The 18,073-nt window shown below is 38.2% G+C and overlaps 1 long non-coding RNA gene across 1 annotated transcript in view; it reads left to right on the top strand.

The window, feature by feature from the left end:
• The window catches only part of CIBAR1-DT (CIBAR1 divergent transcript), a 353,967-nt gene that overhangs the window by 12,993 nt on the left and 322,901 nt on the right, over positions 1–18,073 (top strand). Inside the window, exons 2-3 of the long non-coding RNA NR_033858.1 lie at positions 4,010–4,087; positions 4,783–4,898. This is a non-coding gene — a long non-coding RNA (CIBAR1 divergent transcript). The remainder of the gene's footprint in view (positions 1–4,009; positions 4,088–4,782; positions 4,899–18,073) is intronic.

Here is an 18,073-nt window from a genome sequence, read left to right as displayed (position 1 = left end):
GACGGAGTCTTGCTCTGTCGCCCAGGCTGGAGTGCAGTGGCACAATCTCGGCTCACTGCAAGCTCTGCCTCCCGGGTTCATGCCATTCTCTTGCCTCAGCCTCCCGAGTAGCTGGGACTACAGGTGCCCACCACCATGCCCGGCTCAATTTTTTTTGTATTTTTAGTAGAGACAGGGTTTCACCATGTTAGCCAGGATGGTCTCGATCTCCTGACCGCATGATCTGCCCGCCTCGGCCTCCCAAAGTGTTGGGATTACAGGCGTGAGCCACCGTGCCTGGCCACAACTACTATTATTACTAGTAGTTATCAATTACTATAGTTACTGATTTTTCGTTGTACAGATTCCTGTTTTCTCATTTGCAAAAAGGAGACAGTAATGGTGCCTATCTCGTGTGGATGTGAAGATGAAATGAAATAATGTGTATAAGACATTTTTCATAATGCCTAGAACATAACCAGTGCTCAGTGAATGTTAACTAAGTCATTCTTCCATGTAAGGGCAGACTATCTATGTTCTACTCATGGCCCATTAGTTTTATTTACTGGTCACACTAATTTTAAAAAAGGATACAATTAGATATAAAAATTATTTTTTTTGAGAAAAATATAAAAATACTCAAACTACTCTATTTTGGTTCATTTTATAAGTTTTTTTCTCTGTCCTTTGGACTAGAAGATTATCTTTCTCAACTAGAAAAGTGTGTATTAGCAATCAACTGTAATTTACATTTTGGCTTCATCATTCGACCCACATCCATTTTTTCTTTATTTTCAACGTTGGTATGAGTTTTCTCTTTTTCTGAGTTTTCAGATATTTTAAGTGAGCAGTTGAATTTTTAACTTAATCAGTGTATGACAACCAATTGCAATTATTATTCTTTTTGATGCTCCGATTATCCAAGAGTTGGCTGGTGGGAGCCCATCCAGCTGGCACTGGTGTTGACACATTTCCATTTTTCTTAAATTTGTCCTGTGTTTTGGTACAAGATGTGTTAGGGTCACCTTGTAACTTTTCTGCTCAAGAATTGAAATTAGCCAGTTCTCCAAGGAACAGCTAGACATCATTTTAAACTGAAAACTCCAAATTCCTTACTGAACTATTCTCTCAAGATTGTTTTGGGAATAGCTAGCTTGCTGAGTAGAGTTGAAAGCATCCATTTTGACTGCTAGCTGCACTGGTCACTGAAACAATATGTGTATCTTTTTAACAATAGAATATCACAGTAAGAAAAAACTGAGATAAATCTATAGCTCATTGGGCTGTTATACTTTTGACCTAAGGTAGCGAAATTCTAAAATCATCTGTGTGAGATAATACATTTTTCTTCTGCTGGAGACACGTTTATGCACTTTAACATACAGAATTAGCTGAATGGGAAGAAAGTAACGTTTCTTCAGATCATCAGTTTTTACAAATACTTCTCATTCTGGTAGTTAGAGAATCTAATAAATACAGTGTTTACAAATACCGTGAAGTAAGAAGTTTTAGTAATTTATCAGAATATGTCTAGATCTACTAACTGAAGCATTTACATAATTTTCAGAAACATTTACTTTTTAATCCAGATAATGTTATATAAAAATATATTTTTTCATTTTTAAAAATGACAGTGTACTTCAAACTTTTATTTTCTTAAAAAAATTTCCCACATATCTGTTGCTTTGTAATTACTATAAAAGTTATAATTCTTAGACTGGGCGCAGTGGCTCACACCTGTAATCCCAGCACTTTGGGAGGCCGAGGCGGGTGGATCACCTGAGGTCAGGAGTTCGAGACCAGCCTGGCCAACATGGCGAAACCCCGTCTCAACTGAAAATACAAAAATTAGCTGGGCGTGGTGGCAGGCGCCTGTAATCCCAGCTACTCGGGCGGCTGAGGCAGGAGAATTGCCTGAACCCGGGAGGCGGAGGTTGCAGTGAGCTGAGATTGCACCATTGCACTCCAGCCTGAGGGACAAGAGTGAGACTTCGTCTCAAAAAAATAAATAAATAAATAAATAAAAAATAAAACCAAAAAACAAACAGCAACAAAAAGAACCCTGGGAGGTGTAGAACCACTGTTAATCATTCTGTATCTGATAGGTCATATTCTCCTCTGTAGCACTGATCACAGTTCTAAGTAAATACTTGATTGGTAATGAGCACTACTTGTGCCTGTCACTAAGATTGTAGATTGCATCTCTGCAGATGTGGCTGCACTGTTCACCACTGGATGCCCAGGAACTAGGGCACTTTTTTTTTTCATTTTTCAACTTTTAGTTAGATTCTGGGGGTACATGTGCAGGTTTGTTACAAAGTTATATTGCATGATGCTGAGGTTTGGAGTATGGCTGAACCCCTCACCCAGGTAGCTAGCATAGTACCCAATAAGTAGTTTTTCAACCCTTTCTTCTCCTCCCTCCCTCCTTCTTCCTTCTTGTAGTCTCCAATGTCTTTTTTTTTTTGGAGACAGGATCTTGCTCTGTTGCCAGGGTGGAGTGCAGTGCTGCGATTTTGGCTCATTGCAGTCTTGAACTTCTGGGCTCAAGCAAGCCTACCGCCTCAACCTCCCCAGTAGCTGGGACTGTAGGCTGGTGCTACCAAACCCAGCTAATTTTTGTATTTTTTGTGGAGATGGGGTCTCACTATGTTGCTCAGGCTGGTCTCAAACTCCTGACCTCAAGTAATCCTTCTATCTCAGCTTCCCAAATTGTTGGGATTACAAGCATGAGCCACTGTGCCTGGCACTGGGCAGTTCTTATATGTACTAGACGGTCAATAAATTTCTGTTGAACACATATTTGCTAAAATATTTTGTCCAATTTGTAATTTGCCTCTTAAATTTATGCTTTCAAACTAGCAGATTATTAAATTGATGCAGTCCTTTTTAGTGGTAATATTTTCTGTTGTAATTTGCCTTTTATATTTTGAAAATGCTGTTTCAAATTGATATCAGTTAAATGTTCACTTTTTCTCCCCTATAGCATTTGTAAGATTTTGTTTTATGCAATTAACTTTTAAATCCAACCAAAAGTTATTTTGTTGTAAGTTGGGAGGGAACAGTGTTATGTGATATCTCTAAATGGTAATTTCCCCTGGTACCATTGGTTTAGTAATATGTCCCTTCCCTGATAATTTGGGGCCCTATGTATAATTTCTTTCCCTCCCATTAGTCTCACAGATGGTTCTCTAAAGTATAGGCCTAGAAATAAGACTAAAATCCTCAATCACAAAAGTGTTTTTGACCCTATCCTGATCTTCATTTTTGCACCCTTTGCTCCAGGAATGCTGGAGTTGTTAGAAACAGTGGAAACAGGCACTGAACTGGTCACTTTGGACACCCAGCTAGCTCTGTGTTGTCAGGTCTGCCTTGAGAAAAGTTTTCGTTTTTTAAATAGATAATATTCTGGCATTCCTTCTTTGGGAATTGCATTCAACAGCAGATAACAGGGATGCAAGTGCCTTAGACAAGATCAAAATTTATTTTTCTCTCACATCAAAGATTTACAGAGGTAGGCATCGCGTCTTTTATGTAGGCCCCACAGAGTTATCTAGAATGTAGACTTCTTTCTGTTTTGCAGCGAGATACCATTACATATAGAATTCTGGTTTCCACCAATTTTTGGAAAGGCTAAGAGCAAAAAGGGTGTTCCCTAAAGGTCTGTTTCCTTTTAAAGGAGTCTTTTAAAAGTCCCACACAACCTCAGCTTACACATCCTTGGCCAAAATTAGCCACATGGTCACATTTGGCTGCAAGGAAAGCTAGGAAATGTGATCTTTTAGCAAAGAACATTGTTTATCTGAATAAAATTGGGGTCCTATTAATAAAGAAGAAGAGGAGAATGAATCTGACATGGACAGTAGTATTTTCTGGTGCACCTACCAATTTGTAGATTCCTTAAACAGGCTTCCTGCTTCTCAAAGTATGGTAAATGCCATGATGGGTGTGTCTTAGTCTGTTTTCTGTTGCTATAACATAGTGTCTAACACTGGGTATTTTATAATGAGCAGAAACTTATTTCTCACAGTTCTGAAGGCTGAGAAGTTCAAGAGCAAGTGCTGGCATCTGATGAGGGCCTTCTTGCTGTATCATCCTACGGTGGAAGGTGAGAGAGTGGTAGAGAAAGAGAAAAGGGGCTGAACTTGCCCTCTTGTAATGAACCCACTCCTGTGATAACGAACCCACTCCTGACATAATGACATCAATCCATTCATAAGGATGGTGCTCTCTCCGTGTCCCAAACACTTCCCATCAAGCCCCACCTCCCAGCACCATCATATTGGAGATCAAGTTTCTAACAAATGAACTTTGAGGGACACATTCAAACCATAGCAAGGGCACAGAAAGATGGCATGTAACTGAAAGTGGATACACTGAAAGATATGGGAAATCAGCAAATCCACTTTCAGCTAGCAGGTTGTTGGATTCTGTATCCAGTCCCTGTGAACAAAATATCCAAGAGTCTTCATTATGTAGACTCAAATTCAGCCACTGTGGCATGGACTCTTTGGCTCCATCATTATTGTTATTTGATGAGGAACGACATCTAGAGAATTAGTACACCTTCCTATTTGTATGATAGACATTGGTGAATTCTGAATTCATGCTCCTATAAGCTCTTACAATGGATACATACCCCACTGTCAACAATGAGCTAGTCGGTACCACATAGACATTTCTTTTAAAAAGTATTGCACAATTTTATTTAAGTTTCTTTTCAGAATGTATGCACATAAAATGAGATTGTGTACAATAGACAAGGCTACTTAGAGATCATATTTTTTTTTTTTTTTGAGACAGGGTTTCACTGTATCTCCCAGGCTGGAATATAGTGGAGATCATGGCTCACTGCAACCTTGACCTCCTGGGCTCAAGCGGTCTTCACACCTCAGCCTCCCCAGTAGCTGATCCTACAGGTATGCACCACCACCACTCCCAGCTAATTTTTGTAGAGATGGGGTTTTGCCATGTTGCCCAGGCTGGCCTTGAACTTCTGAGCTCAAGAGATCCACCCGCCTTGGCCTCCCAAAGGGTCAGGATTATCGGCCTGAGCTACCTTGCCAGGTCAGAGACCATATACTGAAGGTCAGCACGCAACAAATTCTTCCACTATCACATCCCCTTTCCACAACGTTGGAAGAGTCTCCTCTGCTTGGCTTTCCAAAAGTTGCCTGTTGTCAAAGTCCCTGATCTTCTGGACTTCACAGCCCAGAATACTTCATTGTGAGTCATTCCACTGACCACTGCTATGTGGCTTACCAGCTCTGGCTCTTTGGTCTGCCCTGTTAAGACCCTCTTCTGCACAATATCCTGGTACCTCAAAGAACAGTCTGCCAAACGGGCAACATGGCTACTCTACCAGCCACTGTATTATTATGGTCATTTTTTACATTAATATTTCATTTCTATTGGCTAGAATTTTTTTTAAAAAATTTTAATTGTAATTTTTTTTTGAGATAGGATCTCACTCTGTCATCTAGACTGGAATGCAGTGGTGCCATCATAGTTTACTACAGCCTTGACTTCCCAGGCTCAATCGGTTCTCTCATCTCAGCCTCCCGAGTGACTGGGACTACAGGCACTTGCCACTATGCTCAGCTAATTTTTGTATACATGTATTTTTTTTGGAGGGATGTGGTTTTGCCGTGTGTGTGTGTGTGTGTGTGTGTGTGTGTGTGTATGTGTGTATGTGTCTGTCTATCATCTATTTTTCTATCTATCTATCTATCTATCTATCTATCTATCTATCTACCTATCTATTTTTAGAGATGGGGTCTCACTATATTGCCAGGCTGTTCTTGAACTCCTGGGCTCAAGTGATCCTCTGCTTCCCAAAGTTCTGGGATTATGGGTGTGAGCCACCTTGCTTGGCCCACTCTCTCATATTTTAATTCACATTTCTTCGAATAGTAGTGAAGTTGAACATCTTTTAAAATACATGATTTCTGGTTCCTTTTAAAAACATTTTATTTGGAAATAATTTCAAACTTAACAAAAGTTGCAAGTATAAAAAACAGTACAAGGAACATACACCCTTTACCTAGGTTCCTGAATTGCTAACATTTTACCCCATTTGCTTTATCATTTGCTCTCTATGCGTATGCATGCATAGCTGTGTGTGTGTGTGTGTGTGTGTGTGTGTGGTGTGTATAATTTTTTACTGAACCATTTGAAGGTTACAAATATTATAGTCCTTTACTCTTAAGTATTTCCATGTATATTTTATAAGAAAAGGAATATTCTTGCATAACCTCAATGAAGCTACCAATTTTATAAGTTTACATTGGTATAATACTTTTTTAAAATATACTTTTTCTTTTTTTGGATGCATGTATCTCATCTAAAATGCAATACTTTAATCTACCATTCATATCCCAATTTTGTTCACTGACCTAATAATGTTCTTGATAGCATTTTTCCCCTCCAGCAAAAAAAATCCAGTCTAGGGTAAGTTATTGCATTTGTCATGTCTCTTCAGCTTCTTTTAATATGAAACATTTTCACAGCCTTCCTTTGTCTTTTATGTCATTGATATTTTATAAAAATATAGTTTCTATCCTCCCCAACTGACTTTCTAAGAAAGAAATTTATATGGTAGAATTTTCATCATTTTGTCCTTGTCTGATGTTTTCTTACAATAAGTTGGAGTTATGCATTCTTGGCCAGGGTTCTGCATAGTTAATATTGTGCCATTCTCAGGATATCACATCTGGAGAGGCACGTGTTGTCCATCTCTCCATTATTGGTGATGGTAGTTTTTTTTTTTTCTTGAGACAGTCTTGCTCTGTTGCCTAGGCTGCAGTGCAGTGGTGGGATCTTGGCTCACTGCAACCTCCACCTCCTGGGTTCAAGCAATCCTCCTGCCTCAGCCGCCCAAGTAGCTGGGATTACAAGCATGTGCCACCCCACCCTGCTAATTTTTGTATCTTTTTAGTAGAGATGGGATTTCACCATGTTGGCCAGGCTGGTCCCAAACTCCTGGCTTCAAGTGATCCTCCTGCCTCGGCCTCCCAAAGTGCTGGGATTACAGGGGTGAGCCACTATGCCTGGTCCTGGCCAATAGTTCTTATTGGTGATTGTAATAGTCTTATGTCAAGTCTCTAATGAGCTTGTCCTACATGGCAGATACATAGGAAGTTCTAGGTTGAAAGATGAATAAGAGAATTCCTTTGCTAATGAGTTTATAGCCTAGAGATGAAGCAAAAATGTAACAGAAAAATGACAATAGCATTGTTGAGTGCTGTAATGGAAGCATGGACAGTGAAGTAACTAAATCTACCCTCAGGAGTAACTCTAGTCAGGGATGTTGGGGAAGCTTCACAGAAATAAATCATTCATGAATAGGGACCACATTTATAGATGTTTTATCCTACATGACACTTTGCCTTATGCTCATTAACTAAGCATTAAATAAATGAATGAAAATAAAAGTCTATGTGCCCCCAAATAAAACTGATGTCAAAATATGGCATGTAGATTATTTAATTGTATCTCTCTTTTTAGCTTACCATTGATGACAGAATCTTATTGCTTTAAATGTTTTAAACACTAAGCAAATATATTTACATGCTGAGAGAAAATGCTCATAGTAAATTATATGTACAAATGTGGTATGTAAGTTTACGATATAAGCTTTTCTAATGTAGTTTTATATTCAGTTAGAGACCTTGATTATGAAATTGAAATATGTACAGAATCATAGATCTTAATGTAGAAAACAATTTCAGGAGTGCATCCATTCCAATTCCTTTTCTTTGAGCAGAAGCCAATTTTACAGATGATGCCTTGAGGCTTAGAGAAATTTAATGCCTCAACCAGGTCAAGGGTATGTGGTCATCTAGGACTCTATAACCCTGATTCAATGCCAAGCCTCTTTCTGGCAATAATTGGTACTCAATCTGTATTTGCGGAGTGAATAATACTCTTTCCTCCTAGTGCATTGTGATTTCCACTATCCATGCTGAACTTTTAGGAAGGTTTAAGAACTTTTAGGAAGTCACAGCTAATCCTCTAAGCCATATACTGAAGTTCCAATTTCTGTTGGTGTGAATCATGTAAAATAGCTCTGTCTGAGATGCTGGCAAGTTTGTGGAGAAAGGGAACACTTATACTCTGCTGGTGGGAATGTAAATTAGCTCAGCCACTGTGGAAAGCAGTCTGGAAATTTCTCAGAGAACTTAAAATGGAACTACCATTTGACTCAGCAGTCCCATTACTGGGTGTATACCCAAAGGAATAGAAATCATTCTGCCATAAAGACACATGCACATGAATATTCATCGCAGCACTATTCACAATAGCAAAGACATGGAATCAACCTAGATGCCCATCAGTGGTGGACTGGATAAAGAAACTGTGGTACATATACACCACAGAATATTACACAGCCATAAAAACAAATGAAATAATGTCTTTTGCAGCAACATCGATGGTGGTGGAGGTCATTATCCTAAGCAAATTCATCAGAAACAAAAAACCAAATGCTGCATGTTCTCGCTTTTAAGTGGGAGCTAAACATGGACACAAAGAAAGGGACAATAGACACCAGGGCCTATCTGGGGATGGAGGATAGGAGGAGGGTGAGGATGGAAAACCAGCTATTGGGTACTATGCTGATTACCTGGATGACAAAATTATCTGTACCCCAAACCTCTGTTACACACAATTTACCCAAGTAACAAACCTGCACATGTACCTGCTGAACCTAAAATAAAAGATTATCTGTACCCAAAACCTCTGTTACACACAATTTACCCATGTAACAAACCTGCACATGTACCTGCTGAACCTAAAATAAAAGTTGAAAAGAAAAAAAACAATAGCTCTGTCTGATAGAACTATAACATAACCATGATTGTGGTTATAAATTTTTTAGTAGTCATATTACAAAAAAAGAGTCAAATTAATTTTGATAATACATTTTATCTAATAAATATATCAAAAATTTTAGCATTTCAAAATGTAAACAATATGAAATTATTGAGATATTTTATATTATTTTTTCATACTGTCTTATGAATTTGGTGTGTATTTTACAGCCCATTTCAATTTCGACTATCCAAATTTCAAGTGCTCAGTATCTGCATGTGGCTACTGGTTACTGCATGGTCCAATATTCAGTATGTATAATGGACAGTGCAGATACAGAATGACCCTTGATAATCCGTCATCTTTGTGCTTTGCATTATTCAATATCAGCTGCCATAGGGCAAATGACCCAGAGAAGGGTTTCTTCTCTCCAACTGACTTTGACATAATCTCAGGGTTGTGGGTACAAATCTTTACATAGAACTGCAGAATTTTGGAGATGGATGGGACAACATAGTAGTACTTTAATAAAAACATACACATGTAACTACTTGCTTCTCACGCTTATGGTATCAACAGCTAGTTGTGATGTTTTCAAAATTAGATCATGGATAATATGTTTATCTAAATTGATTTCCATATCCCTTATATAGCTTGATATAATACAACTTCAAAATAAAATTGCTCACTCCTAGATTTGAGTAGGGGAGTAAGAAAGGTAGCTTTGGTGAAAATGACATTCAGATTTTTTTTTTTTTTTGAGACAAAGTCTCACACTGTCCCCCAGGCTGGAGTGCAATGGCGCGATCTCGGCTCACGGCAACCTCCACCTCCCAGGTTCACGTGATTCTCCTGCCTCAGCCTCCCGAGTAGCTGGGATTACAGGTGCATGCCACCATGCCCAGCTAATTTTTTGCATTTTTAGTAGAGACAGGGTTTCACTCTGTTGGCCAGACTGGTCTCGAACTCCTGACCTCGTGATCCGCCCGCCTTGGCCTCCCAAAGTCCTGGGATTACAAGCGTGAGCCACCGCCCCCAACCTGACATTCAGATTTTAAATTCTTTATTAAATATGTCAATAGGGAACATTTTTCTTGGCTGCTATAAAAGGTAGAAGCCTTTAATAAGATAACGTTTTAAATTAGTGGGTGAAGACAATATAATTAATAAATTATCTTGGGACAACTGAGCACTCGTATGTGGAACTGTAAAATAATAAAGTTGGATCTCAAATTTCCTTCTATACCAACATAGTGCTATGTGAAACTAGAACATTTTTTCTCATACATTGTTGGAGGGGTATGAAAATTGGAGGGAAATTTGGCAATATTGATGAAACTTGTATGCTTGCAATTTTATGAATTTATTCAACATGCATATTTGGCTGGCTCATGCCTATAATCCTAAGACTTTAGGAGGCTGAGGTGGGAGGATCGCTTGAGGCCAGAAGTTTGAGACCAGCCTGGGTAACATAGTGCGACCTTGTCCCTACAGGAAAAAAAAAAAAAAAAAAGCCCTGCATGGTGGTGCCTGTTGAGTACTATCTAAATTTGAAGTGCTCAATATCCATGTGTGGCTAGTGGCTATTGCATGGTCCAATATTTGGGAGACTGAGGTGGGAGGATCACTTGAGTCCAGGGGTTCAAGGATGGAGTGAGTTGTGATTGCATCACTGCACTTCAGCCTGGGTGACAGAAGGAGACCCCATCTCTTTTTTCGTTTTTTTGTGATGGGGTTTCCCTCTGTCACCTAGGCTGGAGTGCAGTGGCAAAGATCTTGGCTCCCTGCAATCTCTGCCTCCCAGGCTCTAGAAATCCTCCCACCTCAGCCTCCTGAGTAGCTGGGACTACAGGTGCGAGCCACCATGCCCAACTTATTTTTGTATTTTTAGTAGAGACAGTGTTTCACCATGTTGGCCAGGCTGGTCTGGAACTCCTGGACTCAAGCAATCCGCACACTTTGGCCTCCCAAAGTGTTGGGATTACACGTACAAGCCACCGTGCCCTGCCAAGACCCCATCTCTGAAAAAAAAAAAACATATATATTCATACATGTGAACACAGAAATATGTAAAATGTAATTCACTGTAGCAAATATTTATAATAGCAAAAAACTGGAAAACAACCAAAATATCCATCATTATAGGATTGGCTAAATAAATCATGATACATCCATATAGTATCTTACTATATATTCCTTTAAAAATGAGACCTCTCTAACGTCCTGATATAAAATTCACTTTAAGATAATATTGTTAAGACAGGCCGGGCGAGGTGGCTCACGTCTGTAATCCCAGCACTTTGGGAGGCCGAGGCGGGCGGATCACAAGGTCAGGAGATTGCGACCATCCTGGCTAACACGGTGAAACCCCGTCTCTACTAAAAAGACAAAAAAATTAGCCGGGCTTGATGGCGGGTGCCTGTAGGAGAATGGCGTGAACTCAGAAGGCGGAGCTTGCAGTGAGCTGAGATCGCGCCACTGCACTCCAGCCTGGGAGACAGAGCGAGATTCTGACTCAAAAAAAAAAAAAAAAAAATATATATATATATATATATATATATATATATATATATATATATATATATATATATATATATATATATATATATACTGTTAAGACAGAAAAACATGACACATGATCTAGATTAGGAGTTGGCAAACAATCCAATTGCTGCCTGTTTTTGTAAATAAAGTTTTATTGGAACACAGCCTCTTCGCTGACATACTGTCCACGGTTGGTTTTGTGCTGTGATGGCTGAGTTGAGCAGTTGCTGTAGAGACCATATGGGCTGAAAACCAGAAAATAGTTACTATTCGGCCCTTTACAAGATATTGTGCTTGGCCCTGTATGCTACTATCTGCGTTATACAACTTTTACTAGTTTTAGAAGAATAGGAAATAATTGCAAACTACATACACCATTTTGCAATTGTAAACCTGAAAATATTCTCATTGGTGTGTTTGTTGAAATGCTCTGCCTTTAAGAAACTTGGCATAAAGATCATCAAGGATATATATAAACATGATTTTTAATATGATCCATTCCATTTTCCTATGAAAATGATCATATTATAGATTCATTCTGTGCCAAGAAGAGCAATTATAAAGATGGAAAAATTAATCAACCAACTCATTATTTTGTATACAAAGTAACTGGTTTGAAGTTTGAAGTTTTTGAAATTTTTTTTATTTTCCTGAACTCACTAAAACAACTGCCTTGTCTTGCTCGAGACAACGTGGCAGCGTAGTAAGAGTTACTAGTTAGCCGGGTAACGAACATCATAAGGTCCCAGAGTGAGAAGGCTGGACGCGATGCTCATTAAAGCCCAGTGCTAGCCTACCATTGAATTATTCTGTGATTCAATAAACTCTGGCCTTCTTGTTACTGTGTCGTCAGCAGGCTCACCTGGCTTTCAGTGCATTGCCGGGCCTTTGAAGGGGTTGGTACTACGCTTAGTCAGGGATAGTTGAAGTTTGCTGGTTTGCTCTCTCTGGACACTAAGATGGTGACTGCAATGATAAGTTCACTTGGTTCAGGCTCCTCTTTTTAATAATAGGAGAGACTGTTTAACCTGAGATTCAGAGATGTCAAAATGATTTATTGAGAAAAATTGTATTCACATTGTGGAAATGAGTTATACTTAGATAACTAGGTGATGTAAGTATTAAAAAATATAAAACAAGGTTATGATAATATCCAGCCATAACAGTGGGGGTGGTGCTGGATTAACAGGAAATCCTCCTCAATGCGATTGCTCTTGTGGGGCTACTTAGCTAGGCTCTCCTCTGGCCCAAGGCTCCTCTGCTTTTCTTCTGAAGTTATCCCAGCTTTGGCCAGTCTGGTTGTTCTGACAGACCCATAAGCATTTTCTTTTTTCTTTCATAAAACACTTTTATATTTTTTTGGACCCCCACACAGAAGAGAGCCATTGTCATCGCCTTGATATCTTGCCCAGGATTTCCTCTGACTCTTATTTCTTTGTATTTTTTGAGTTCTGATCTTGGCGTACCTGCTGCTGACAGTCTGGCCTCTGTTTGCATGGTCCCAGCGCCTCACTGATATCCCATTTCTCAGTATTTAGTCATGCCTGATTGAAACCAAACCAAACCAATCTTTGTTAACGCCTATAATCACAAACATGGTCCTTGCAGAACTGAGGACATCTCAGCCAATAATCACGGTAATAAATCTTCCCCATCACGAGCACCCTACACTGCTCTATGTCTCCCAGACACACTGTGTTCTTTCCTGGTTCTGCTTCATGCTGTTGCTCTGTTTGTCTGTACCCTGCACTCTCTGCCTGGGGAACACCTCTTATCCCAACTCAGTCGTCTCTGACTCTCCTGGAGAGATTTACACTCTCTCCTTTTCAATCCTCATTTTGTTCTTAAATCTATTACTGTTTATTGTATTGAAATGCTTCATTTTTGAGCTTGGTTTGCTTCTTGATCACAAATAGTGCATTAGTCATTTTGTATACCAGGTGCCTTGTACACCAGTCACAGAATACGTCTTTGACACGAGGTTATTGAATGAATGTGCTGTCCTTTAAAATTTCTGGCAGTCTTAAGAGTTGAAGTTTCTACGAATGTCAAGGAAATTATGACAGCAAATTTATTCAGTACCAAATATTTGTTTAGTACCTACTATGTGCCAGACTCTGATAAACTGCTTGGCATATGTCCGTGAACAAAACAAAGAGCCCCGTACTCTTGGAGTGATGAATGCAGGCAAAGAATTATAGATGTAATAAATAATTCAATTCTACAGTATATTAGAAGGAAAGAGGTGCTACAACAATAGAAAAATAATGAGGAGCGATGTGTCATGGTGAGCAACTTGGAGTACCCCCATTGTTGCTTTCTAAGTACGTATCCAGTAAAATCCAACAGTTGAGCCAAATAGTCTAGGCAGTTTCTGAGCTCATTTAATTCTCATACTGGTCATAATAGCCACATGGGGTAGATATTAATCATATCATTCTCATTACACAGATTAGGAAATGAAGAGAAGAGAGGTTCAGCAACTTGACCCAGGTCACACATAGTACAACTGGAATTTGAACCCAGGCAGTCTGATCTAAAAGTTCAGGTTCTTACTATTAATTAGCACCCGAATATCTATGGGAGGTGATAAATTCCCTAAATTCTTTACATCACTTAAAAAATTTAATGAAAAAAATTAATAAAATATCACCCTGATATTCTAATATCCAGTGAAAACACACTGTGATATTAATGAAATATCACTCTGATATTTATAATACTCAGTGTTTACACGTTGTGATATTGATGACATATCGCTCTGATATTTGTAATTACATGTAGTGTTTACACACGGTGATATTGGTGATACATCGCTCCCTCGCTCTGAAATTTGTAATTATGCACAGTGTTTACACACTGTGATATTGACGGTATATCGCTCTGATATTTGTAATTACATGCAGTGTTTACACACTGTGATACTGTCAATATATCACTCTGATATTTGTAATCACACGCAGTGTTTACACACTGTGATATTGACAATATATCGTTCTGATGTTTGTAATTACACGCAATGTTTACACACTGTGATATTGGTGACATATCGCTCTGATATTTGTAATTATGTGCAGTGTTTACACACTGTGATACTGACGACATATCGCTCTGATATTTATAATTACGTGCAGTATTTACACACTGTGATATTGGTGACATATCACTGTGATATTTGTAATTACGTGCAGTGTTTACACACTGGTACTGATGACATGTCGCTCTGATATTTGTAATTACACACAATGTTTACACACTGTGATACCGATGTCATATTGCTCTGATATTTGTAATTACATGCAGTGTTTACACACTGTGATACTGACGACATATCGCTCTGATATTTGTAATTATACACAATGTTTACACACTGTGATATTGATGACATATCGCTCTGATATTTGTAATTATGTGCAGTGTTTACACACTGTGATATTGATGACATATCGCTCTCATATTTGTAATTACATGCAGTGTTTACACACTGTGATACTGACGACATATCGCTCTGATATTTGTAATTATACACAATGTTTACACACTGTGATATTGACGACATATCGCTCTGATATTTGTAATTATGTGCAATGTTTACACACTGTGATATTGATGAAATATCGCTCTGATGTTTGTAATTATGTGCAGTGTTTACACACTGTGATATTGATGACATATCGCTCTGATGTTTGTAATTACGCGCAGTGTTTACACACTGTGATACTGATGACATATCGCTCTGATATTTGTAATTACGCACAATGTTTACACACTGATATTGATGACATATCGCTCTGATATTTGTAATTATGTGCAGTGTTTACACACTGTGATACTGATGACATATCACTCTGATATTTGTAATTACACGCAGTGTTTACACACTGTGATATTGACAATATATCACTCTGATATTTGTAATTACGCACAGTGTTTACGCGCTGTGATATTGACAACATATCGCTGATATTTGTAATTATGTGCAGTGTTTACACACTGTGATACTGATGACATATCGCTCTGATATTTGTAATTACGCTCAGTGTTTACACACTGTGATATTGGTGACATATCGCTCTGAAATTTGTAATTACGCGCAGTGTTTACACACTGTGATACTGATGACATATCGCTCTGATATTTTTAATTATGCACAGTGTTTTCACACTGTTGATATATCGCTCTGATATTTGTAATTAAGCACAGTGTTTACACACTGTGATATTGGTGATATATCGTTCTGATATTTATAATATCCAGTGTTTACACACTGTGATATTGGCGACATATCGCTATGATATTTGTCATTATGTGCAGTGTTTACACACTGTGATGTTGATGACATATTGCTCTGATATTTGTAATTACACACAGTGTTTACAGGCTGTGATATTGTTGACATGTCGCTATGATATTTGTAATTGCGTGCATTGTTAACACACTGTGATATTCACGACATATCGCTCTGATATTTGTAATTACGCACAATGTTTACACACTGTGATATTGATGACATATTGCTCTGATATTTGTAATTACATGCAGTGTTTACACACTGTGATATTGACAATATATCACTCTGATATTTGTAATTACGCAGTGTTTACACGCTGTGATATTGATGACATATTGCTGATATTTGTAATTACGTGCAGTGTTTACACACTGTGATATTTGTGACATATCGCTCTGATATTTGTAATTACATGCAGTGTTTACACACTGTGATATTGATGACATATCACTCTGATATTTTTAATTATGCACAGTGTTTTCACACTATGATATTGGTGATATATCGTTCTGACATTTATAATATCCAGTGTTTACACACTGTGATATTGATGACATATTGTTCTGATATTTGTAATTACACGCACTGTTTACACACCGCAATATTAATGAAATATTGCTCTGATATTTATAATATCCAGTACTTATGCACAGTGTTTACACACTGTGATATTGATGGAATATTGCTCTAATATTTATAATATCCAGGGTTTACACAAAGTTTTTTTTTTTAATGTATTGGTTAAAAAAAGTTTTTTTTTTTATGAAGAAAAGAGGTTTAATTGGCTCATGGTTCTGCAGGCTGTACAGAGCACATGGCAGCATCTGCTTCTGGGGTGGCCTTAGGGAGCTTTCACTCATAACACAAGGTAAAGTGGGAGCAGACGTCTTACATGACAGGAGCAGGACCAAGATAGGAGGTGGGAGAGATGCTACACACTTTTAAAACAACCAGATCTCATGATAATTCACTCACTTCCATAAGACTAGCACCGAGAGGCTGGCACTAAACCATTCATGAGAACTCTACCCCCATGATCCAATCACCTCCCACCAGGCCCACCTCCAACCTCAGTGGGGACAGAGATCCAAACCATATCAGTTGAGATATAAATTTAAATAATTTTTCTATAATGACCTTATGTCCAGTGATATTGCTAAATCATTTATTAATTTTAAATTGTCTACAAATTATTTTGAATTTTAAATGCACACAATTATCTTTTTGGCAAACCCTGAGAGTTTTACTTCTTCCTATCCAAACCTCATGAATTTTGTTCTCATTTTTTCCTCATTGCAAAATTTTATGACTAGTATGATGTTGCAAAAAAAACAAACAAGTGGAAATAGCAGAAATTCTTGTCTCATTGTGAATCTCAGGAAAAAAGCACTTAATGTTTTGCCATTATGATAATTTTATGTAGGATATTATTAAATACTGTTTTTCAGTTTAGGAAGTTCTCTTCTATTCCTAATTTGCTCTTTTCTTTCCAATTTTTATTTTATATTCATAGAGTACACATGCAGATTTGTTACATGGGTGAATAGTGTGTCACAGGGGCTTGCCATTATTTTGTCACCCAGGTAATGAGCATAATACCCAACAGGTAGTTTTTCAATACTCACTCTCATCCCACCCTCCACCCTCTAGTAGTCTCTGGTGTTAACTTCTTTGCATTCATTTGTATTCAGAGTTTAGCTGCCACTTGTAAGTGAGAACATGCAGTATTTGGTTTTCTGTTCCTCCATTATTTCCCTCAGGATAATGGTCTCCAGCTTCATCCATGTTGCTGCAAAGAACATGATTTCATTCTTTTTTATGGCTGCATAGTATTCCATTGTTTGTGTGTGTGTGTGTGTGTGTGTGTGTGTGTGTGACATATTCTTTATCCAGTCCACCATTGAAGGGCATCTAGGTAGATTCCATGTTTTGCTATTGTGAATAGTGTTGTGATGAGCATACACATTCATGTGTCTTCATGGTAGAATGATTTATTTTTATTTATTTTTTCTCTGAAGTTTTTATTTATTTATTTATTTTATTTTATTATTATTATACTTTAAGTTTTAGGGTACATGTGCACAATGTGCAGGTTAGTTACATATGTATACATGTGCCATGCTGGTGTGCTGCACCCATTAACTCGTCATTTAGCATTAGGTATATCTCCTAAAGCTATCCCTCCCCCCTCCCCCACCCCACAACAGTCCCCAGAGTGTGATGTTCCCCTTCATGTGTCCATGCGTTCTCATTGTTCAATTCCCACCTGTGAGTGAGAATATGCAGTGTTTGGTTTTTTGTTCTTGCGATAGTTTACTGAGAATGATGATTTCCAATTTCATCCATGTCCCTACAAAGGACATGAACTCATCATTTTTTATGGCTGCATAGTATTCCATGGTGTATATGTGCCACATTTTCTTAATCCAGTCTATCATTGTTGGACAT

The sequence above is a fragment of the Homo sapiens genome, chromosome 8, assembly GCF_000001405.40.
Source record: "Homo sapiens chromosome 8, GRCh38.p14 Primary Assembly".
NCBI lineage: Eukaryota > Metazoa > Chordata > Mammalia > Primates > Hominidae > Homo > Homo sapiens.
Note: the sequence above shows the minus strand (reverse complement) of the source record. Positions and strands in the feature narration are given on the sequence as shown.